The sequence below is a fragment of the Homo sapiens genome, chromosome 4, assembly GCF_000001405.40.
Source record: "Homo sapiens chromosome 4, GRCh38.p14 Primary Assembly".
In the NCBI taxonomy this organism is placed as follows: Eukaryota; Metazoa; Chordata; class Mammalia; order Primates; family Hominidae; genus Homo; species Homo sapiens.
In genome coordinates this window covers 101,326,512-101,351,724 of record NC_000004.12, presented here as the reverse complement: position 1 = coordinate 101,351,724, position 25,213 = coordinate 101,326,512, and the positions used below count along the sequence as shown (strand labels likewise).

The 25,213-nt window shown below is 40.9% G+C and overlaps 1 protein-coding gene, 1 long non-coding RNA gene and 1 other non-coding gene across 5 annotated transcripts in view, besides 3 other annotated features; 2 read left to right on the top strand and 1 right to left on the bottom strand.

Annotated features, from left to right (window-relative positions):
* Nucleotides 1-2,841: 2,841 nt before the first annotated feature.
* Nucleotides 2,842-3,948, bottom strand: PPP3CA-DT (PPP3CA divergent transcript). The gene is made up of 2 exons (NR_033874.1): nucleotides 3,716-3,948; nucleotides 2,842-3,401 (listed from the first exon to the last, which is right to left on the bottom strand). It is a non-coding gene; the product is annotated as a PPP3CA divergent transcript (long non-coding RNA).
* Nucleotides 3,964-4,573: a silencer, noted in NCBI's record as "silent region_15593". NCBI's record gives its function as "represses an Ori minimal core promoter by ATAC-STARR-seq in GM12878 lymphoblastoid cells {active_cell/tissue: GM12878}" and the evidence as "EXISTENCE:reporter gene assay evidence [ECO:0000049][PMID:35858748]".
* PPP3CA (protein phosphatase 3 catalytic subunit alpha) overlaps nucleotides 4,199-25,213 on the top strand; it is a 324,109-nt gene continuing 303,094 nt past the window's right edge. For all 3 annotated transcript variants that reach the window (NM_001130692.2, NM_001130691.2, NM_000944.5), the window contains exon 1: nucleotides 4,199-4,986. In NM_001130692.2, coding sequence (NP_001124164.1) covers nucleotides 4,929-4,986 — 58 coding nt within the window. In that variant the 5' untranslated portion in view covers nucleotides 4,199-4,928. The remainder of the gene's footprint in view (nucleotides 4,987-25,213) is intronic.
* Nucleotides 5,044-5,403: a silencer, noted in NCBI's record as "silent region_15592". NCBI's record gives its function as "represses an Ori minimal core promoter by ATAC-STARR-seq in GM12878 lymphoblastoid cells {active_cell/tissue: GM12878}" and the evidence as "EXISTENCE:reporter gene assay evidence [ECO:0000049][PMID:35858748]".
* Nucleotides 5,424-5,813: a silencer, noted in NCBI's record as "silent region_15591". NCBI's record gives its function as "represses an Ori minimal core promoter by ATAC-STARR-seq in GM12878 lymphoblastoid cells {active_cell/tissue: GM12878}" and the evidence as "EXISTENCE:reporter gene assay evidence [ECO:0000049][PMID:35858748]".
* MIR1255A (microRNA 1255a) lies at nucleotides 21,311-21,423 on the top strand. The gene has a single exon (NR_031656.1). It is a non-coding gene; the product is annotated as a microRNA 1255a (primary transcript).

Here is a 25,213-nt window from a genome sequence, read left to right as displayed (position 1 = left end):
CTACTCAACCGTAATGTCCAAATGATAATAAATTCATCCAAGAACCAAATACAAGTTCAAAATTTTGAAAGCCTGTTATTTTCAAAACAGAATATAACATACAATATTTTATTTTATTTTTAAAACTAAAACATCTGATAAAGCACTTAATAGTATACTAAAATGTACTTAATTTACTGTGATTTGCACCAATGGAAGCTTGCTCTGTGGAGCACTTAAATGCACAGATGACTCCAAATCCACAATATTTTCTTTTTTTGCCCACATATTTATCTTCATAATTACTTTTGATAAATCTAATAGTTTTTCTTCTCCAATAGAAAGAGGAAGTAGCACCTTATACATAAATGTTTGCAAATATAATATATATCTAATGATCATATAACAAGACTTTTAAATCCTTGAATGAAGGAACAAAATCTCTGAATCCTTCTTTACTCCCTACATTTTATGCATCATGTAGCATAGGGCACAGAACAGGTGTGGTCAAAGAATATTCATTAACAGAGAATTAAGATTTGATGCTCATGTATTAAAAGAAGTAAGAGTATTTTTAGTCTTCTGGTAGTTCTCTTATATTACAGTAAAACAATAATTCTAGGTTTTGCTAAGGAATGTACTTTTGGAACTAACATATTACTTTCGTATATTAATTTGGTAATATTAACTAGTCTAACAAACATATCTCCACATTGTAATGGAGTAACACAATAAATGAGTAAAGCCTAATGCCTATTTTCTTAGTAACTGGGTAGTATTCCTCTATGTGGTAATTAAGGGACTCTCGTCTTTGTCTCTGGGGTTCTGCCTGCCCTGGGTCTTAGAAGTCTCTGCATTCCGCTAAGGATGGGAGCCCATAGACTAGAAAATGTATATCTACTGCTTAACTGCCTTGTCCTGAGAGTGACCAACCATCTTAGTCCACAGTCCATTGATCAGAACTGGTCACATGGACCTTCTTCGAGGAAAGAAGGGTCAGGCTAGAAATGGGAATCCCTCTCTGGGCAGACACTTCCCAGAGTGAATTATACTAAGGGAGGGAAAACACATTTTTTTGGTAGACAAAAAGTTGTCTTTTTTCAAGCTTTTCCCCCCTCCTATTTCTTGATAAGCAGGACATTGCCAAAGTCAGCATCTGGGAACTGAAGTAACCCCTTCAAAATGTAAATTCCAAATATAAAGTATTCTCATGCAAGCAGTAATATAATTATGGACTGCTAGGGCAGTCTAACACGGAGGTTCCCAACCCCTGGGCCACAGAACAGTACCAGTCTGTGGCCTATTAGGAACTGGACTGTACAGCAGGAGATCTGCAGCAGAGTGAGCAAACATTACTGCCTGAGCTCTACCTCCTGTCAGATCAGCAGTGGCATTAGATTCCCATAGGAGTGCAAACCTTACTGTGAACCGTGCATGCAAGGGATCTAGCTTGCCCGCTCCTTATGAGAATCTAATGCTTGACGATCTGAGGTGGAACAGTTTTATCCTGAAACCACCCCCAACCACCATCCATGGGAAAATTGTCTTCCGCGAAACCAGTCCCTGGTGCCAAAAAGGTTGGGGATCTCTGGACAGGACAGAAAAAGAATGGCAGTAGGAGAGGGTAGGACATCTGAAACAGTAACCGAATAAAAAAGATGATCTGTCTGTCTACTTCAGGAGGTCAGGTGTATGAACACAAGTAGTCCCTAGTTAATATGCTGCCGTCCTGTTTCCTTAGAGCAGGATCCAATTTTGTTTAAGAGGTGTCAGTGTTGCAGCAGTTATGGAATCATACACAGGCATTAAAAGTTCATGTTGATAATGTGTTGGGAAGTGATTGTGAGTCATAACTTTTTCTTCCCATACATACCTTAGCTAGGAGGTGTCCTAGACTTGTAGCGGACTAAAGGGTGTGCCTGAAAGGTGTGCCTTTATTTCCTATCTGTATCATGTAATTTTATATGGTGCTGACATTTTAAGCCTTCTGATCTTGGTTCAAAGATGTTTATCCTATACCTAGTAAAAAGTTATTCCAAATAAAGGTGGGAACTTCATTTTTTTCTAATATGTAGGAGAGAATGTCTTGGCCTTGGAAATGAGCATCCCTGGACATGGTTTCCTGGTCTTTCTGAAGCAGGCCCTCTTCACCCACAGGTCTTGGCATCGCTCCCTGTGTGCCATCTGGCCAGGGACCAACTTCCCAAATCTGCCTTAGCAACTAGCTCTGCCCGTGCTCAGGAGGCTGTTTCCAACAACCCCTTCCTGAGATTACAGTGACCTCTCAGAGCTCATAATTTTATGTTCTCTGAAAATTTTAGGCTTTATTGAGGGCAAGGACAATTTTCAAATACACTCCCTCCCCACCTAATTACCCACCACAAAGTCTGGCATATAAATAAAAGGAGTACAGAAAATATCTTTATTGAATGAATTGTCTAATTGCCACCCAGTATCCTGGGGTTGGAAATTGGGCAGCAGAATCTCAGTGCCAGTGGCAGCCTCCCTATCTTGGTGGGACACACCCTGCGTCTGCTCCTTTTGCTAGGCCTCCACAGAGGTATCTAGTGTGTGTTTCTATTCCGTGCAGTCCACATCAAAGTCACGCTGCAGCACAATCAGTCTCTTACTCAAAATTGATTTTCAAGTTTGAGCTTTAATCTAATCCTTGTCTCCAAAACATTTCTTTTGGCTTCATCTCCCAGCTCCCTAAACTTTTTTTTTTGTTTTTGTTTTCTTTGTGTGTGTGTGTGTGTGTGTGTGTGTGTGTGTGTATTTTAAACCTTTTATTGGACCCGTGGTCCAATTGAGGAAATAGGAAAAACCTGATACTGAAGGACTTTGGAAATAAAACAGGAAACATGAAGGGTGAGAAATTTATTCAGATTTCTTCATAATTCCCCCCAAAAGCTCCAACCACGTTGCCAGTCCTTGGGTGCTGCAGTTGGTCGGGGAGAGGGGCTGTGTGGAGGTCACCTTCTGGTAGACGGAGACCCGCTTTTCAGACTCTGTGGCGCAGCAGGCGGGCCAGGAACATTTGGGCCACTATTGCTCTTAGCCCTGCCGCGCCTGACTTTCTCTCCTCTACTTTCCTTCCGACCGTAGGGACAAGTGTGGGGATCCGCTTTGGGCTCCAAGGCCCTGCCCGCACTGGCAGCACCAAGCGGGTGTAGAATGACTGGAAGGAGCAGGGAAGGAAGATGGGTGTCAACTGTCCCGGCCAGTGGCTGCGTGCATGTGTGTGTGAACAGGGAAAAGGCCACCCTCTCCCATGTTTCTCCCGTCTCCTCGGTTCTCCTCGGAGACCCGCAGGGCTGCCCGAGGTAGCTCCGAGTTGCCCTGGGTCGCTGGGGCTTGGTCCGCATCCTCCTCCGCTAGTCCGCTCCCGCGTTCCACAGCGCCCCGCCGCTCGGTGTGCACGCCTGGGTGGGACACAGTAACAGCCCCTAAGCCGCCAACGCAAAAGCAAAAACAACCGTACACCGCATCGCAGTCGTAGCTCTTCTCCGCAAGGTAAGTTGTTTATTCGTCGCCGTTTTGGCGATCCTCCCTGGACAGCTGCGGCAGCGACGGCAGCTGCGCCGCGGGCGCCGAGCTCCCAGCCTCTTCCTTCCTCCGCCCTCTCAGGGCTGCCTCTCACCCCCACCCTCTTCCCTCCTATCCCCGCCTTCTCTCTTCTTGCCCTCTTGTGGGCCACGCACACACCCGGAGACACCCTCTGCACTTGGCTACTCACACTGCGGCTTAACCCAGCCGACAAGGCACGCTTGCCAAAGAGGCGCGGGTGTGTGTGTGCGGGGTCCGCGTTCGGAGGCCAAAGGAGGGTGGCGTGGTAGAGCCCTTCTCCTCCTGGCCGCGACGCCTTGCCCACTCTCCTGCCCTAATCTCGGCCTGCCAGCAAAAGTGACACCTGAGCAGGGACTGGTCCGTAGAGGCGGCAGGCCCGCTGGTCCGGCAGCTGGAAGAAAACAGAGCAAGGGGCGGGGACAATGAGGAGGAGCGGGAGGCGGGACAAGCGGGGAGGCCGCCACCTGGCACTGAGTGATGCGCCCTCTAGCCAATGAACGCGAGGAACTCCGGCGTCGGGGCGGGAGGTCGGGGGCGGGCTCAGTGGGGAGGAGGAGGCTGCAGGCGCGCAAGAGGCGGGGGCCGGGAGGAGGAAGGGGAGGAGGCGGAGGCGGGCGCGGTGTTGGCGGCGGCGGCGGCGGCGGAGGGGGGTAGGTTGTGCCCGGGACTGTGTCTGCCGAGCTCGGCGGCTGTGCCTTGGTGAGTGGAGGAGCGGCGCGGGGAGGCAGAGGCGAGCGCGGGCGATCGCGGCGGCGGGACGTCTCCGGCGGCCGCGGCACCAGCGGCGGCGCTCTGTGTGGAGAAGCAGGGGCAGCGGCAGCAGCAACAGCGGCAGCGGCAGCAGCAGCGGCAGCAGCGGCGGCCGCCTCTCCGCCGCCGGGGACGCCAAGGTGCGGCTGGTGGCACTGACATCGGCGGCCCTGCCTCTCCTCCCTCGCCCCCGGCCTTCCCCATGTGATCGGTCTTAATCCTGGCCGTGTGTGCGCGCGTGGGGCTCCATTCCGCGGTGCTGGGTCTCCGTGCCGGGGTGGGTGCTCGTGTGTGCGCTTCTCCTCCCCATCCCCCTTCCCCCAAGAATAAAAGAAGAACCGGGAGGCGTGCTCAGAAAATAAATAAATAACCACCACACACGCGCAGCCCGGAGCGAGTCGGCGGGGCTGGCGGCAGCGGCGGAGGAGGAGTGAAGGCGGCGGCGGCGGAGGAGGGACGCGCGGAAAAGGCAGCAACTTTAAAGCCAGCTCAGAGCCTAGACCTCCAGCCGAGCGGTTTGCAGCGCGGCGGCGGCGGCGGCGGCGGCGGCGTTGAGTGTCTGGCCCGCCGGTCCGGTCGGGGTGTGCAGTCGGACGGACGAGCAGCGCGTCGCTGTCCTCCGGCAGCTGGAGATGTCCGAGCCCAAGGCAATTGATCCCAAGTTGTCGACGACCGACAGGGTGGTGAAAGGTAAGCGGAGCGCCGCGGTGGCCTGGGTGCACCGTGTGCCGCAGGCGCCAGGGCAGCTTGCCTCGCCTCGCCTTTCCTCCCCTCCCCCGCCCCAGGTTCTCCTCTGTCCGCTCCAGCCGCGGACCTTCTAGGATATTGTGCAACCCGCGAACCCCGCGAACCCCCCGCCCCCGCGGCGCCCTTCCCCCACGCGTCCCACCCAGCCTCACTTGGGGCATTTTTATTGACGGGGGCGTCAGTTGGCAAATGGCTGAGCCGCGGGGAGGTGGCGGCGGGGGTGGCGGTGGTGGGAGGGGGCGCCCGGGGGGTGGTTGCTGGTAGGGTGTAGCTGCTGTGACAGAAATAGGAAGTGGGTGGCTCTGCTCACAGGCTTGCATGGGATCGGGTTTATGGTTTTCTTCTGCAGAGGGAGGGGTGATTGATGGCTTTTTAAAAATTAATACGGCATTTTTATGTGGCCGTGGCTTTCCACCGACTGCCTCACTTGGGCAGGGTTGTCTTGGAGCTCCATTGCAGCAATTCCCTCCGCGCCCCCCTCCCCCTCCCCCTCCCCCTGGAAGGGCCTGCACAGGACTCGCGAGAGAGCGGGAGAGCGTGGGGGGAGCCCGGCGCTTCCTTCCGCGCGGGGCGGGGGCGGGGGCGGTCGCTGGCTGGAGGGTGGCCGCGGGGGGCGCGGGAGGCGGGGAACGACCTGAGAGCACCAGCCGTTGCCGCCCCGGGATTTCCCCCGCACGCCCCGGGGAGAGACACGAAAACCACTTCTCCAGCCTCTCTTGCCATCCCCGGCTGTCCCCCGCCGACCTGTCATTGCTCTTAAAGGGTTCTCCACTCGTGCACACCTCCCAAGTGATAACCTCATTCCGCCTGCTTCCTCCGTGCCCTGGCATCCTTTTTGTAACGGGCTGTTGGATTCCTATTATTGCCTCCTCTTCGCCGCCTACGGGATGATAAACTCCTGGCAAGGATGCACTGAGGTTGCTGGCAAAGAGAAACTGGGATGTGCGGAGTGAGGAAGGGGACAGGCTGTGGTTGATCACTCTGTCGCACGGGAATCTATCGGCCTCCTTGTATTCCTAGGTGTAGTGGGGGAGGAACCATCCTATGAATCCTGGAAGGCTGAGGCAACAGAGCAGAACCACTTGGATTAAGTAGTATCTCACATTCCTGGGGGTCAGGACACCAAGCAAAGCAGAGATGGGCATGAGCTGTGCGGGGAGCGGGCCTCTGAAATTGGAAACAGCACTGGCTGGTGTAATGTGTGTGTGTTGTGTGTAGAACAGAGATGGTATCTAATGTGGCCAGAGCATGCAACTAGAGTGCAAGGCAATCAAGTCGTTTGCACCATGAGCACTTAAAAGTGAAGTAACCCAGCAGCCCAAAGACCATGATACACAAGTCCCTCTGGGGTTTCAGAAATGATTCTTTCTCCTTAGAGGTTTACTCAGTTTTTAAAGTAATTTTTCTGTGTGAGTGGTGGTGGTGATGGGGGAAATTACGTTCCCTTTTTTCAGAAAGAACAAAATATCTTCTTTTGTTTTGGTTTTACTGGAATCATTCCTGCTTCAGCTTCGGTGCAGGATTCATATACCCATGAAAATAATGAGGAAATAGCTCTGCAAAAATGATTCGAAATAGGGCTGCAGAGAGATGCACAGCTATTTTATTTTTCCTGCAGGCATGGATTTTCATGGAAACAGTCCATTCACATTTATTTGAGAGAGCTGTGTTTTGCATGAAAGGCTTCTGTTGACATTTTCAAAAATTGAGACCCTTTGCAGAAATATCAGAGAATGACAATTATCTCCTTAATGTGTGAAGTTTAGATGTAGCTCCAATCTAGGTTAAGATCAAAACAATGTAAAGCTTATAATTCAAATGATACTAGTGAACGTGTTGGCAATTAAAAAAACACTTGTGCACACATAAGGTCACATTCCCTGTTTTAAATCATAGGATGTGGATTCTTAATGTAGGTGTAAAGTCATCAGGTGAACATGTAAAAATAAATGTTTATACTTTCTGGCTTAGTTTCTCTACTGCTTAAAATGGAAGAGCCCACTCAACCATTCCAAGGCTACTTTGCCTTGCTTTTTTTCAATACTGTACCATTATAAATGACTTTTCATTTTAGGTACACACACTCACCCATAATTTAAAAAATTTTATTCACATACTATGTGGATAGTAGACTCAAAATAGGAAAAGTTAATTTTGCATTTGTTTTGATAGAGATCCTGATGTGAGATGTGAAATGTGAAATTTTGTTTATAGAAGTTTTGTTGATGAATCCTGATTTTAAGGTGGATACACTGTTATTGTTTATCCTGTTTTCTTGTAGAATATTATTGGCATGAAAGGCATTATACAAGGTTGGATTCAACCTTTTGTCATACATAAGATTTTTATTATTAGTTATTTGAGATAATCTATTTTGATTATTAGCTTTCTGTGAAATAATATTTCCCCTTGAGTATGTATACACGTACTGAATGAATGGAAAGTACGCGTATGCTGGATGTGAAACATATTAACAAGTGATTTAATTTGCAAAAATTAGATAATATGGAGTTTAGAAACCATTATTTACTTGAAATTTTGTTAGAACTTCATCTCAATGGCTATTTAACTCATTCTTTAATACAGAAAAGAAATTATCTTTGAGGAAGTATTTGTGCTCCATAAGTTTTCTCTTTTTTACGAAGTATGTGTAGTATTATTTACTATATATACATACAAAAATAAATATTCAGATTGTTATTACCATGGCATGCCATGGCATTTGCTTACAGTTATATTTATTAGTGTCATCTGGCTTTTGTTGTATAAGAAATTGCTATTTACAAATAAAGATGTGCTTGTGGTTTGTAGTAATATGATGTGACTGTTTTCTTAATTGTACTTTTAGAATGCAGCTTTAGAGACGTAGGTTGAGTCTGTCTCAACTATGTTATTTTTGAGGTTTATAGAATCTGCTAGCATGTATTCAGAGACCCTGATCGGTTTTCTAAACCTTAAAAATGAAAGAGAATGATGGCAGTGGAGATGAAAAGTATTTGTTTAGATTATCCCAGGAGAGAAAGTTACTTCAGTTAGCAAAACTAGTGCTGTATCATTTTGACTCTTCTTGGATTAAAACAATGGAAAGTAGAAAAATTCAGAGAAAACATCTTGGTAATGACCTTTGCTGGAAATCAAAATAATATGGTCCGTTTATTGCTTTACATTATATTTTTAAAGATACATACAGCAAACCGAGGGCAATAAATAGAAGAATAACTGTCTTCCTCCCCTTGACCCCCGTCCTGATTTTTCTCTTAGTGATACTCTACAGGCCTTGTCTCAAACTTTGGCTTTTCTTCATTTCTCTCTGTTCCTGCCTAGAATGCTTTGTCTGGCCCTAGCATTCCCTATTGGTCATGGAACTTTGCTATGTGATAGTTAAAAATACTTAGAGGAAATTAAACCCTATGTGATAATGAGTATTTGGCTTTGTTAAATCTCTTAACCTACCTTCCCTCTGTTCCCATCTCCAAGTATTTTGTGATGGGACTTCTACCTTAACTCAAACCGATGGTAATGGTAGAAATTTTAGAAACTATGGGAGGCTGTTGAGGGATAAATTTCTGAGAAGAGTTTTGTGGAATCTCTCAGAAACTATAGATAATGCGTTGTTGTGCTTTGTGTAAGGTTGCTTTTGGCCATAGAGAATGAGCTGTTTTTCAGGTGTATTGCCAGCTTACGTACTTCATGTAGACAGAGTACACATAGGAGAATTCTGAAAGATGCTAAGATCATAGAAGCAAGAAGATGCTAGTTAAGTATTATTAAGTAAATAAGGATTCCAGCCACTAGTATTTCTAGCTGGGTGAGACTGATAATACTACTTAAAAAGAAAACAAATATGTCACATTCGTAGTAACTGTCGTGTTTAGACCTTGATGCAACAGAGTAGTAAATAATGTCATTTATTTGTGGTGTTCCAGGAAGAGCTTGTGAATTTATTTTACTGACATTTTGTTACCATCAGTTGAGTTTCATGTATCTGGTTTTCAATTTGAGTATAGTGAAACTTTATTAATTCAATATCATGAATTTAAATTTATTGTGAAAAAACACCAGTGTTTGTTGGCTGAAGTTTACATCAGCATTGGATGTGAAGAAAGGGGTCCGATAACCAAAAAGTATAAACAACATAGTTCCAGCATTGTTAATATACCAAGAGAACAAATTCTTTTCAATACTTAGTGAACAGTATGCAAATTCATCCTGTTCGTTACGAGTTAGGTTGGTCTATTTATTAACATTTCCTTTTGGGACTATTATAAAGTGAATATAACACAAGTGCATTGTTGTAAAAACATTCAGTAAATTTAATGATTAATGCAACAATTGAGACTGGGATTCAGGGGAATTCCAGTGATTCTAAAATGCCATCAATTAGAATAATCAACATTTTGAAGATAATAGTTTTTCTGAGAAGTGTGGGATAGAACCCTTATTTTAAATGGACAGTTTATCTTAAGACATCCAGTTAAAATAGGAAAAAATTAACATCTAGAATCTAATTAATGAGGTTTACTCTAAGATTTGTTTAAAAATATGCCTTTTAAAATCTATTTGTCTCTTTGTTTTATTTGTAATTTTAGCGAGATGAAATATAATTTTGATAGACCATTCATTTATAACTTTTGTAATTGGCCTCTCATGCTTTTCCTTATCTTTTTTTGTGTCAGCTATGTGTAAATTTGAAACTAATTATGACACCAAATAAAGAATCCATTTAGGGTGACCTCATTGGAAAACAGCATTTTTGCAGATACTCACTCTCCTTTTAGCAAATATGGTTAAATTACCATTTTGAATACTTCTAGAACTATGAAGAATGGTGGTGATTCATGATATAGAATTTTGATAATTACTAAAAATCATTTTGTCAATTTTTTTCCAGCAACTTTCTGATGTAGCAGTCTCTTGATATACAAGAGGGATATGGTGAGACCTTGAACTTCAGCTTTCTGTAATTCCACTGGTATATGTTATAACTTCACAGGCTAACTTTCTCTATACATAAAAGGGGAGTAATTGTATCCACTGTCAACTTGTGAGGACCGAAGGATAATCAAATGGGAAATGGGGAGTGTGTGGTTAACACTTTGTCCACTGCCTGGTAATGGCGATTCAGTCACTGCTAACACAGAATTAGAAATGACACGTGTTATGTATTTTCTGGTCACCTGAGAATAGTCAGAACCATTAGCATTGAAAGCCATGAGTGCCTTGGGTCAAGAGTAGCTTATGATGACATTTATTTTTATAGTTAAAGAAGTGGAGACAGAATAGATAGAATGGTTACAGGTAAGTGTAAACACATTATTTTCTTTATTAAAGAGGCTTTTCTTGCTTGAAAACATTTTTGAAAATTGCCACTGGCCAGGTGTGGTGGCTCACACCTATAATCCTAGCACTTTGGGATGCTGAGGTGGAAGCTTGGGCAACATAGCAAGACCATATCTCTTAAAAAAAAAAAAAAGAAAAAGAAAAAAAGAAAATGGCCACTTCTTTTGGTATATTTAAGATATCTTCACATTTCATTTCGCATTTTGTTTTACTAAATAATTAACTATGTAAAATAGTTTGATTAGGAGAGGAAGCTTTTTATATTTCTGTTTTTAGCAGACATCAAATTCTGGTGATAAATATTATAATTTAGTCTGACCTTGGCCTGAGGTTTATAAAGAAATACTGTTAAACATTGCTTTCTGTTCAGGTAAATATATACACAGAAATAGAATAGTATACTCTCCTGCAAAAGAATGTTATTTACTTTCATTTTGAAGGATGTTGTCTTAAGCCTGTTTTTCTGAACTCCACTTAATGACCCACACTGATGCTCTGGTTTGACAAACAAAATCTTCAGATTTGATGATTTTGTTAATTTCTAGAGCAGGCTCAGGTGAAAATATCAGCCAGTGATTCTGAGGTGTTGCATTCCTATTTTTAAAGCAGTCATTAGGTAGGACTGATGTAGGCAATGAAATAGGATTTCAGTTTGTAAATTAAGTCTTTAGTACTCTTGACATTTTCAGCATTTTAAAATCATTTTATTTTACAATAATTCCATCTTTTATATGAATCCATCAATTATATTTCATATGAGAAGTGAAATAACAATTGTGTATTCCTCCATGGTTAGGGGTTCTGAATAATGGCTTAAATCAGATGGGTTATCAACTTTATGACCTAGCCCAGTTGCTGGTATCTCAAATCCGTTTTAACAAATATGCACTCGGGTAGTGGAAGCTTTAGATATTAAAAAAATAAAAGCCCTCACTGACAAAGTGGCAATAAATTATTAAAATGCTATGTTTTTGGAATTCAGGTAGATTCTTTTTGAGACCATCATAGAGAGGAATAGAACTTTGCTGTCCTTTTTGTTTTCCTTATCCATGCTTTTGTCTCACAGCAAAATATACTATGACTCTATTTTAAAAAATGGTCTACCTGTCTGTGAACTTCTGTCTCTTGCAACTGGAAATTTTGCTTGTGTCTGTCTGCAAAAGAGGGAAACAAATAGATATCAGGGATTTATAAAAGCTATCTCAATATTATGACATACTAGTTTACAATGTTTGTCAATTTCAGGTACTTTTGACAACTGTGAAACCGGAAGAATGATGGTTGATGTTCAAAGAGAGAGTTTTATTTATATGGAGCTAAATTAAAAAAATTTTCATCAGCTCTAAGATTCTTAGACTTAGAGTCTTTCTGTGGTGATTTTATTGTCCCAGTTTTCCTTTCTTTGGGGAAGAATTAGTAGTAGTTTTTATTTAAAATGTCCAGTTCTTTCTATGTAATATCAGAATGTTTTGGAAATTCTAGTATGTCAGTGTCTAAACTATGTGTCTTGGTTGCTGCATATACTTGGAAGTTGCATAAAATTGTTAATATTTGTATTCAGAGTTTTAGTTTGGAAAAAATGGTCATTGTCTTATTGGTCCCTAGCTCAATGCCTTGCTTATTAAATGCACTGAATAAATTCTTTTGAATGAGATGGATATTGTAAAATTCTCATGTGCCTCCTGAAGCCTTCTAAATTGTTTTTATTTTGAGTGTATTATATTAAGTTCCATTTGTAACTGGTTCTGTATGGTGACTGGCGAATTGGAGTGCTTCTTTCTCCAGCCCAATCAGGGCATGGAGTATGAGAAGGAGGCATTAATAAGGTTACACAATTAGAATGAGAGCTGTTCTGTTCGGTCACTTGAACTCACTTTGTCCCTGCTGAATGTAAAAGGCTAAGTTCTATTCAATTTAATTTATTTGCTTGAACCTGACAGCTGTCTTTCAGTTTTTATTGTATTCCCCTTTAGGCTGGTCAATTTCTGACAAATGAGAAAAAATATGTTAATCACTGAGTGTTTGATTATTGGATGATTTGTGTATTTTAGTTATTGTCTAGATTTGGACTTGAAGATAAAATGACCTGGTAAATTTCATGAAAAAGAACAAATTGGAAAAAACCTCTTTCCCTGTTTACATCTCAATATATCATTTCCTATAATGCTTCTGTAATCCAGAAATGCTGCCTTCTCCAACATGACCTCCTTCCCTTCTCTGGCCCCCAAAATGTCATTGGATGCCATCCAGTGGAAAGATACATGGGCTATGAAAAGTTAAGAAAAAGGTGGCACTAACGCTGCTGTCTCCTTAGATTCTCACAAGTGGGCTTTGAGCCATCCGTTGACATTTGTTTTTAAAACATCTTGTAAGTTATGCTGTTTTATCAAGTTAAATTAAAAGCAAGATATATTCTTAAAAAGATGGAACCTGAGTCAGGAATTCAAGTTTGTTTTATTTTTTGTTTGCTTTTTACAAAGGAATTTGATTTTAAAAAATGATAAATCTGGCATTGTTGGTTCATGTATATTTAATGCTATTAAAGTTACACACATTCCTGTTCTGCTGGGCCTGATTATTGGGATAACAAATGTTCTCCTGATCATTCAGTTCTCTTCTTTCGAGCTTCAGTTCAGAAGTTACCTCCTTTGAGACCTGCATCTCCTGACACCTTCACTTAGAATAAAGGAATTGAGCCTCTTCCTTCTCACAGAGGACACCTTGATAAGAGCATGTTGCTGTGATGACTTGTTTCCTTGTCTGCCTCTCCTCCCCAGGAGGTGGAAAGTCCTAGAGACAGAAGTTCTATCTACTTTTGTGTCTTTAGCTCTAGCACAGGGCCTGCTGTAGAATAGGCATTTGATACATAGTTGTTACAGGAATGAAATAACAAAGGATAAGATGGATTTAAATTTCTAAATTATGGGGTTCCTTTATGTTTTGAAATTTTGTCAATCTTAAATCGTGATCAGTACACAAATGTCTGATGAGTCTTGACTTGTAAGCTCCAGTCTTTGTAGAAGTGTGTTTTCCTGTGAGTTTTTGAAGTGCTGTATTTTATTAACTGGCATTATATGGATTTTGCTCGGTAGCCAGCATGCAGAAGCATAACTGGCAGAAGTGGCCTTCCCATAGGGAGTGCTTGACTTTTAATGGATTATTGTCACAAGGTGTATAGGTTGATTTCCTCAAAGGTGAGTGATGGTTTCTTTCTCAGGAAGACAGGTGATGATACTAAATTGAGGGGAGAGCCATTTGACAAGCATATGGGAGGCCCATATTAGTCTTCACAATGTGCAAATTCAAATGAATAAAAATGTATAAGATTAGGAATTAGAACAGAGATTAAAACATACTGTACACCCCGATAGGTGATAACTTACTGTGTATATACCAATAAAAAATCTTCAGGCCCATCACGAGTACAGGCTGCTCATGAGTCACCTCTCCTGATGGCATGTCTGCATGGTGAGTGTTTTTAGAAAAGCTCAGTACTGGACTCCACACCAACAGAGTGGCAGTATAGTGAGGCACTTGCTCTTAGTCCCATCCTTACAGAAGACCGCTAAAGCTGCGCTACCCCAGATGTGGTTGTATGACTTCTGGTTAAAGAAAGCCAGCTGGGCCTTTCCAAGCTCCATTTTATTTTTGTTCTGAATGAATATTTCCAGTCTCTCACATGGGCCGGGATATACTTTGTCTCACTAACACAGAAATACTTTCATTTCAAAGAGTTGAAGACTAAGGAAACTATAGTTTCCTACATAAAATCTCACTGTTAGCTTCTGTTGATTTGCATTCAGCAACCAGGAGGGAATCTCTGTTGTCCTCGCCTCTGGTCAGAATTCTCCCTGAGTACTCTATCTCGTTCCACGTGCCCTTCCAGAAACGGATGTGTTAAATTTTGGAGTATGTTTTACAAAACAGTCCCCAAGATGATTAAAGGACTTTAAATAAATTGTGACAGGAAGTGAGAGATTATTCAGTCTGAACAAAAAAGGGTGAGTGGTGATTTAACTAGAGGCTTCAAATATTAGAAAGTCTCTTTCTGTAGTGGATCATACTCAGAAGTTGTTCATCACCCCAGTCAACTAAAGAAGAGAAAATATTTAGAAGCATCAGAGAATTAGGTGATTTTTAAAAAAATTTAACCAGTTAGGGGCATTTAACATTGGGATGGTTTATGGGAATCTTCTGAATGGAGAGAATAGATGATTCTTATTTATTTTTGTTGTAAATGTGAACTTTATGTGTGCTGAAGAATAGTCTAAGCCTAAAATTATGGCATTTTGAAGCTGGAAGGAACCATGGAAATCTAATTTTCTGTCTGGCTCAGAACCCTCTATTTGCTGGGGAGAAGGATTGGGGGATGTAGGGGAGACCTTTGATCTCTTACACTTGCTCATGCCTGAATTTAGGCCTACAAATGAGACTCCCAGAATTGGAAGGTACACCAGAATTCTAGCTTAGGCTATCTCTAATGTGGAACTCCCTCTCCAGCCTCTCTGATGGATAGAATCCCGCCCCTGCATGTACACATCTAGTGAGAGGCAGCTCCCTATTCCATATACCTCTCACTCCATCCTGGACAAGTCTGCTTTGAAGAAATATTTTCTTATTCTTGATTACAATCTGATGCTTTGAATATATATTACTTGTTCTTAGCATTGTCCTACAGAATTCCATAGAATAAGTCTTACCTGTTTGCCTCCAGAGAGCTCATTTGCTATTAAAAACAGCTTTCTTTTTTTTTTTTTTTCATTTTTTTTTTAAGACAGTTTCACTCTGTTGCCCAGGCTGGAGTGCAGTGGCACGATCTTGGCTCACTGCAACCTCCGGCTCCTGAAGTTCAAACGATTCTTGTGCCTCAGTCTCCCCAGTAACTGGGACTACAGGCATGCGCCACCATGCCTGGCTAATTTTTTTGTATTTTTAGTAGAGATGGGTTTCACTATGTTGGTCAAGCTGGTCTTGAACTCCTGACCTCAAGTGATCCACCTGCCTTGGCCTCCCAAAGTGCTGGGATTACAGGCGTGAGCCACTGCGGCCGGCCAGCTTTCTTGTTCTTAAGTCTTCTAGCTATTCCTCACCCAGCATGTTTTTGTTTGCTTTTTTTTTGGAGGTGGGGGACAAAGTTTTGCTCTTGTTGCCCAGGCTGGAGCCCAGTGGTGTGATCTTGGCTCATTGCAAGCTCCGCCTCCTGGATTCAAGCCATTCTTCCACCTCAGCCTCCCAAGTAGCTGGGACTACAGGCATTTGCCACCATGCCTGGCTAATTTTTGTGTGTGTGTGTATTTTTAGTAGAGATGGGGTTTCACCATATTGACCAGGCTGGTCTTGAACTCCTGACCTCAGGTGATCCACCCACCTCGGCCTCCCAAAGTGCTGGGATTACAAGTGTGAGCCACCATGCCCGGCCAGTTTCTAGGTCCTCCTCCATCCTAGGAGTCTACCTTTAAATCCAGGTCAGTCTATTGGAGTCCCTTGAAAATGGAGAAGTGAACAAAGGTTGATCTTGACTGACTTCTTCCATGGAACCTCCAGCATCTTGTGCTCTCTTCCTTGGTACTCTTGCTTGCCCTTCTGTGTCCTCATGCCAACTTGGAACTCAGAAGTCTTTCATAGGTGGGCCCAGTTTAGCATCCCGAGATACCCTTTGGGAGGGTGAGGATTGCCAGTCATGATGCTCTTAGTTCTCATGCCTTTCCCATTGAAATTCCCTTGTTATTTTTTCCCAGAACTTAGGCAGTTTCAAGTTGTCAAACGCCTAATCTGGTCTATAAGTAGAAGTCTGTAAAACCTAGATAGCAGACGCGTTTTAACAGTGACTTTCTAAAGGCATTGCTCTCACCTTTCATTTATAATACAGGCAAGTAATAAAGACAGGATGAAAGCATAGCACCATGTGGTGATAGTGGGGCTATTGAGAGACAGGCCATGCCCCCTTTATTTGCTTTTCAAATCATGCCACAAAGACAGCTAGCTCAGCACCTCACTTGACCAGAGCCAAACCTGCCTCTTCTGCTTGCTTTCACTTGTGCCTAATCTTTGAAGATTGTCTGCTCCTAACGCCATTGAATTTGGCAAATGTAGTAAAATTGGTTGTAATTTGATAACTAGTTTCAGTTTCACTGAGATATGAAGGAGACCAGTGGCTTCCAACTATGGTGTCAACACAGTGTTGTGTTAAACTCAGCTGTGAGGTATTAACAGCTACTGATAACCTAAAGAAGTTTGCAGATGACTTATTTTAAGATATCTACGTATAAACGAGAGTGGATTTACGTTCAACCCTAAAATGCTACTTTCACTTGCATTCTGACATGAAGGGATGGAGCTGCAACTGTCATGGTGGGCATTTTGTATAAATTGCAGTTGCTTGATCTTACTGATAAGTCTTTAATCACAGTGGAAATTACATATGTGTGTATTTCCCTGAACATTTTTTTTTATAGTGGTTCATTAGAATCTGGATTTGTTTATCCTAGTGTTTCGTAGAAGTGAATGTTATATCATGTATATCTCTGGGGGGAAGAAAGGCCGAGACCTGTCATGGGAGACTGTGCCTTTGCTAGCCAGTCTGTAAATTGAATAATCTTGAAACATTTAGGTAGGCACATTTGGGGTGACTTCAAAGTGCTTTATGAAGTCTTCTCTCCTCACACATCTCCAGAGACTACCATACCTGAAATTTCATGATTGTTTAAGATAAGAATTGCTTTTTTGATAGATATTTCAGAAGTAACTGATATTTAAAACATAATTAACTGACTAATTTAAATTTTTTTCCTTTTGGGTAATGTTGAATCTAGGAAAAAAATCCTGTTATTCAGGAGCCTTTTTGAGAGTTAACTTTCATGCTTCTTTTTAAATCCATATCCCATGCCTCTTTGAAATTGTCACTCGGGGGTTGGGCGCGGTGGCTCACACTTGTAATTCCAGCACTTTGGGAGGCCGGGTGGGTGGATCTCCTGCGGTCAGGAGTTTTAGACCAGCCTGGCCAACATGGCAAAAAATCATTTCCACTAAAAATATAAAAATTAGCTGTGCGTGGTGTCATGCGCCTGTAATCCCAGCTACTTGGGAGGCTGAGGCAAGAGAATCGCTTGAACCTGGGAGGTGGAGGTTGCAGTGAGCAGAGATCACGACATTGCACTCAAGCCTGGGCGACAAGAGTGAAACTCTGCCTCAAAAAAAAAAAAAGTGTCACTTGGTTTTCTATATGTCCTTATTTCCCATATGATATAATCTCCTGCTCGGTAAGTAGATTATTTGGTTGAGTGTAAAATGGCTGTTAAAAAGATACTGCTTCTACTTATTAAGCCATCCATCTACCCATCCTGCTCACGTATGTGTCAGACTTTTAGTGCCCACTGCGTGTGTGGCTCTGCACTGTGTTCTTGGGGTCTAACATAATGTAGGCAATCTGAAGGTTACTGTCCAGTGTGGGAAGCAAAAGGAAATCACGGTATAAGTTTTGCTTTCTTTAATAGCAGAAGGGGCTACATCCTACTGTGGGAATGCAGAAAAGGGAGTGATAAGCTGCCTTCATAGACTGTGCTTTCATTTTTTGCAAAAGTAAATGTAATCAATATGAATTTGTGGAAAGTGTAGCATATATTGCCATGTGTTATGACTTTGAGCTTATTTTAAAATAAAGATGGATGCCTGTTTCTGCCTAACATGTTAGTCAGTGTTATCAAAGACAAGAGGCAGACCATTCATTCACTCATTTCCAAAACACTGAATGCCATTCTGTGCCTAGCGCTATACAAGACATCGGAAATTCAGTGTCAATAAGTCTTTGCTTTCCAATCAACAGGGACGATTTTAATTATAGATTGTCTTCCTATTAAGTATGAATTTTAGCAGGTATTAAAATTAGTTTGATAATATGAGAAAAAAATGAAGATTGAGGCCGGGTGCAGTGGCTCATGCCTGTAATCCCAATACTTTGGGAGGCTGAGGTGGGAGGACTTGAGCCTAGGAATTTGAGACCAGCCTGGACATCATAGTGAGACCTCATCTCTACAAAAAAAAAAAAAAAAAAAAAAAAAAAAAAAAAAAAAAACTGGGCATGGTAGTGCATGCCTGTAGTCCCAGCTGCTGCTCAGGAGGCTGAGGTGGGAGGATCGCTTGAGCCCAGGAGGTTGAGGCTGCAGTGAGTCATGATCATGCCGTTACATTCCATCCTGGGTAACAGTATGAGACTCTGCCTCAAAAAAAAAAAAAAAAAAAGAAAGAAGATGGCATTATATTTGAAATTCTGCAGCTATTGTAACTCATTTGTGAGCAGGGTATATGAGATAGAATCATAGACTTTTGAAGGTGGAAGAGGGCTCAGACGTAAGCTAGTTAAGCTGTCTTTCAAAAAGAAAAGATATTTCTGTTAGATGGTTAACAAGCCACTCTTCACTCTGCCTCCCTCCACATACTTCCAGTGATGGGGAGACAGCATCACAGTGTGGAAAGAGCATTGGTTTACAGCTAGACAAAATCTGTATTTAAATCCTCTGTCCTCCATATGCCAACTGTGTGTCCATGGGCAAGTCATGTAACCATCTTGAACCCATTTTTCTTACAGAAATTTGGAAACGATACTAATTTTTTAAGGTTGTTGTAACGACGAGAGGAATATTATGTAAAATGTCTAGCCTTAGTGCCTGCACAGAAAGTGTTCCCAATATATGTTAGGTATTGTAATTTTGCTGCTGGACAGCTCCTTTGAAAGACATGCTTTTTACTTGTAGAAGTAGTAGTAATTTTCATTAAAGTAATACACTTCCTCACCTCCTATCCACTGTCAAATCCGTTGTACAGTCATTTGGGGGGCCCTACCATTCCATGGAGGCAGGTTGGCAGTGGCTGTCCAATGGCTGGTTTCTGTGATATTTGACAGGTGTCACCTTGTTTTTCTCGAAAGGTTGTCCTCATTGGCTTTCATGAATTTCTTCTTTTTTGACTTTTTGCTATCTCATCTTGACTGAATCCTAAATGTTGATGTTCCCTCATTCCTTTATACCTTTCTCTAGGCAGTCTCATGTCCTTACACTTACAGGATTGATTAATGCCTGTAGGCTGATCACTGGCACATCTGTATTTGAAACCTAGACTTTTCTCTTGAGCTGTCTCTCAAACCCTATATACAACAGTTGCTGTGGATGGGTATGGTGAAAATACAGTTGGATGTCTGTTCTCCTGTGTTTCCTATGCTTGGTGATGTCACCACCACCCATCCCAGTCAATTAAACATACCTCTCAGTTCAAGTCTTTTAAATACTTCTAACCTAGTGCTGCAGGAGCCTCCCAACATCAGTGTCTCTGCTTTCAACCTTTTTCTCTTGCATACACATATGTTTTGTCACATTGGCACTAGGATTATTTTTCTAAAACGAACACTTGATTATGCCGATACCTACTTGGTGGTTGATCCCTTTTTTTACTGGTTTGCAGGAACTCTGTATATTACGGAATTTGACCCTATCACATGAATTCTGAAAATATTTATAATATAGCATATGTTACATTGTACTGAACTTATTTTAAGTCTCCAATTTATTTGAATATAAATTTTTGGGAGCTGAGAACATTTTTTATTTATATGTGTATTCTGATTGTTTATCTGTGTTTGGCATATAATAAAAGTTGATTGAGCTGAAGGACTTAAAAACCTGAAGCACACCTTCCATGCTTTTCATTTGCTTTACCTCTGCATGGAACACTTTTAATCTGTCTCTCCTGTGTGAAACTTCTCTGAAACCCTTACCAGCTGTCTGTGCTGCTACTTGTCTGTTGTACGCACGATGGATCACAAATGTTGGCAACATTTTTTCTTCATTAACTGAGAAATCTCTGAGGGGCAGGGTCTTATCCAGTTGATCTCTCCAGTGCTTAGTGCAATGCCTGGCACATTATTCTTCATTTGTTTTTTTACAACAAAAAAATTGACTGGGGAAGATATTTCTGTTTATTATACAAGAATAATGAAGCAAAGTACTTCCTGTCCTCCCTTCTATTCTAAAAATTTTAATGACATTAATATCCATGCCTTGCATGTATATTACCTCATTTTAAGTACCTTATGCAAAGTTTCCTAGTGAGTAAGTGGTAGATCAGGTATTTGGACTCCAAGTCGTGACTCAGATCCTGGGCTTTTACCACCATAACACTAACTTCAGGGCAAGATGAGGCCAAATATATTAGATGGTGTCAGTGAATTGATAGAAAATACTTGTTATTAGGGATTTCTTTTTATATAAAATATCATTGCTCCTGGAAATCATTTTGGCTGAACATCTGTGGCATTTTCTGTGGGAGAAAAATCTAATACTTTTCGTGGGGCAGATATTTTTGTCTTCTTTGTAGAAATATGTAGTTGAGGCCCACAACAATGGGACTGGACCATAAATTATGCTTTTCTTGGCATTATTGACCTTATTATGGTGTTATAACACAAACGATCCAAAACATAAAAAGAAGTACCAACTATGAGATCCATAAAAAAGTCATTTTAATTGGACCTTAAGTTTTTCCCCTAGGTTAAGGCTATGAAAAAAAAGTGTAGTGCTAGTTATTGTACACTGTTAGCCTTTTTTTGTAGACGTTGCCTTTTTATACAGGCATATTTTAGAGATATTGTGGCTTTATACAGGCATATTTTGGAGATATTGTCGGTTTGGAGATATTCCAGACTGCCACAATAGAGCGAATATCACAGGAAAGCTAGTCACACAAATTTTTTGGTTTCACAATGCATGTTAAAGTTATGTTTACACTATACTGTAGTCTGTTAAGTGTGCAATAGCATTATGTTTAAAAAAGCAATGTACATACTTCACTTAAAAAATACATAACCGTTGTGCTAATGATCATCTGAACTGTCAGTGTCTTGGGGTGGCTGTTGCTTTATCAGCTAAATGTATGTAGTATTGGAAATCCTTTGAGTTGCTTCTCAAGGATGAGCAAAGAAAGTAGATTTTTTAGATTCTAAAGAAACTATCTTCTTTGCTCATCCTTGAGAAGCAACTCCTTATCCATTAAAATTTTATCATGGGATTGCACCAAGTCAGTCCTATCTTCAGGATTCACTTTTAATTCTAGTTCTCTTGATATTTCTACCACATATGCAGTTACTCCCTCCTCTGAAGGCTTAAATTCCTTAAAGTCAGTTTATTTCAAACTCTTGTTAATGTGGATATTTTGACCTCTTTCATTAATCATGAATGTGCTTAATGGCATCTAGAATGGTGAATCCTTTCCAGAAGGTTTTCAATGTACTTTGTCCACATCTGTTAGAGGAATCACTATGTATGGCAGTGACAGTCTTATGAGATATATTTCTTAAATAGTACAATTTGAAAGTTTAAATTACTCCTTGATCCATGGACTGCAGAATGGGTGCTGTGTACAAGATCAGAGCTCTTGGATGACTAGGTGCATTGCAAAGAGCAGTAATATTTTGAAAGGATTTTTTTTTTTTCCCTGAGCAGTAAATCTCAATCTCAGCCAAGAGCTTAAAATATTCAGCAAACAATAACAATGCTGTAAACAGATGTGCTGTTATCCAGGCTTTGTTGTTCCACTTACGGAGCACAGGCAGAGTAGATTTAGCATAATTCTTAAGGGCTTTAGGATTTTCAGAATGGTAAATGAGCATGGGCCTCAACTTAAGTTACCAGCTGCATTAACCCCTAAAAAGAGAGTCAGCCTGTCCTTTGAAATTTGAAGCCAAGAGTTCACTTCCCCTCTCTAGCTGTGAAAGTCCTAGGCAGCATCTTCTTCCAATAGAAGGCTGTTTCATCCCTATTGAAAATTTGTTATTGAGTGTAGCCGCCTTCATTAATGATCTTAAGCAAGGTCTCCTGGATAACTTGCTGTAGCTTCTACATTAAAATTTGCTGCTTCACTTTGCATTTTTATGTTGTGGAGATGGCTTTTTGCCTTAAATGTCATGAACCAACTTCTGCTAATTTCCAACTTTTTCTCTGCAGCTTCCTCACCTCTCTCAGCCTTCATGGAATTGAAGAGAGTTAGGGTCTTGGCTGCTGATTAGGTGTTGGCTTAAGAGAATTTTGTGATTGGTTTGATCTATCCAGACCACAAAAACTTTTCTTATATTGGCATTAGGCTCTTTAGCTTTCTTATCATTTGTGTGTTCACTAGGTAGCACCTTTAATTTCTTTGAAGAACTTTTCCTTTGCATTCACAACTTGGATGTTTGGCGCAAGAGGCCTAGCTTTGGGCCTGTCTCCACTTTTGATATGCCTTGCATGATAAACTTAATCATTTCTACCTTTTGATTTAAAGTGAAACATGTGCAACTTTTCACTTGAACAGTTAGAGACCATTTTAGGGTTATTAATAAGCCTCATTTTCAATATTATTTTGTCTCAGGGAGTAGGGAGGCCCAAGGAGAGACAGAGAGAGATGGGTAAATGACTGGTCAGCACAGCAGTCAGAGTACACACATTTATTTGTTAAATTTGTTGTCTTATATCGGTGTGACATGAGGTGCTTTAAAACAATTACAATAGTAACATACAAAACCATGGATCACAGATTACCATAACATACAATAATAATGAAAAAGTTTGAAATATTGTGAGAATTACCAAAATGTCACAAGAGACACAAAGTGAGCACATGCTGATGGAAAAATGGCACCGCTAGACTTGCTTGTGACAGAATTGCTATAAATCTTCAATTTGTAAAAAATGTAATACCTGCAAAGTGCAGTGAGGCAAAACACAATAAGTGAGGTATGCCTGTATTCATTTTCATATTTTTGTTGCTGAAGCAAATAAAGGAAGCCACACATAGCTAAAGTGAAAGCCACTTCAAGGAGACGTCACATGAAACATTTTGAGGAGGGAGTTATGTGGTTTCATTGTAACATTTTAGATGCAAATGTGAATTGTTTTGAGATCAGAATTTTTCATTTACTACTTTTAACTATTCTTGTACTATGATGAATGTTTAGGGTTAGCCTAGTTATACAATTCTTAAATTGTTTGAAAGAAAAGATGGTGATTGAGAATTTTAGTGCTTCTCCTGAGGCAGGTGATTGGAGACAGTTGTTTGTTCTTGTGATTCATAAACGCATTTTGAATCCAACTGAACCTTGTTTGATTCACTTTGAGAAATTCTGTGGTTGAGGTAGTTGCAGGTCATAGGTTTAGGTGTAAGAGAAGATTTAACACCCTGCCCTGATTTCCTGGGTCTGTAAATTCGGGGAGCTCCAATTTCACACGGAGGCCTCTTACCATCTCTTGCTTCATGGTGAATACCTCTGCATGTGGGAAAATTTCTTCCTGCTGGAATCAGCTTAGGTTCATATTTTCTTTTTCTTCTTTTTTTCCCTGGTGATATTTTTGTGGACCCTGAACTTCAAATATATTTTTTTTGGTTGTTGTTTATGAAAGGTGTCCAGTACCATGTAGATGAAAAATTTGAGTAACGTTCATACAACTAGAGTGTTTTGTTGACAGTTCTCATTTTGTTAATATATATTTATTGAAATGTAAGGGTTTTCATGGCCTGAAAAAACAAAATATGCATTACAACTTTCCTGCTGTGTGTGTTTATTTCAGTTCTGAAGCTAGCCTGAAATAACCTCTACTTTATAAGGAAATTGATGCTGAGTTGTCATTATGCCCAACATTTATAATACATATACAGCTAATTTGAATGTTATAAGTATAGAAAAAATATCAGGTAAGTCTGTATTCAAATAGGAATATCAAAGTAAAATAACCAGTGATTAAACATTCCAGTGGTAGTACATGGGAACCAAGTGAGAAAATATGTAAGAAACATGCTTGGATTTTTTGTTTGTCTTTTTTTTTTTTCTCCCACAAATGTGGATTTAATTTGTGTCTTATGAGTGAAATTTTAAAGTAGAAGATTATGAGAGCTCTTCTTTTGGGAATTCCCCTAGTAAATACAGCTTCTAAGTTCACTGTTTTTGTTCTTCCTTGAGCTAATGAGAGAGGTTAACATATTTGTAGTAGATTCCAGGTTTTAGAATTTTTTCTTATGGAAGAGAGGCAAACTGGAATCCCATTCAGTCACAATATTTGGTTCAGTCACAATATTTGATTAGACTTCAATTGTCTTGGACAGAAGTAAGACTGTTCTCCATATTCTTAAAAAATGGAAATGTGCGTAAATTATTTTCTGTACATTCACTATTTTAAATAATTATTTCCCTTTCACTCTTATGCTGAGCTGTATATTGTGACCACATGGATGAAAGTCTACCTCTTTTCTTCTTCACAAGGTTTCCGACAGTGAGATTTTGTGAGTGATTTGGTTTATTTCAAGAATGGTGGAATTATCACAATAATGTATATTTTAAAATGCTTTTGTAGTTATGCCTCAGAATAGGCAGATAGATACTGCCTATTCATATTTGAACTTCTGTCCTGTGAAGAGCTAGCCCCAGAAGGGATCTTTTGCTTTTGATTATTTAGCCTATATTTAAGAGGTTTCTTTTCTCTTGAATTGTTATCCCCAGCTACTTGTTCAGAGATGTTTGTAAATGAAGGGAGTGAGTGGGAGGAAAAGCTTATGTTACTTGTAGACCAGAGAATAGTATAGCAGCTAGAAGTGGTGTTTGTCTGTAGGCTACCCTTAGTTGATTTGTGTTGTCATGCAAGAAACATTTTGATGCATTTATTTCAGGACACGGCATTTTGGAGACTTCATTAAATGCTACCTGTTGCTGTTTGTGATGGAATCTAGTCTAGAATGTTAAGAGGCAGTAGAAAAAGCTGAAATGGCAAGAAGATGGCACTCTTCAGTCTTTAAGATTCACCTGTTTGCATTTTAG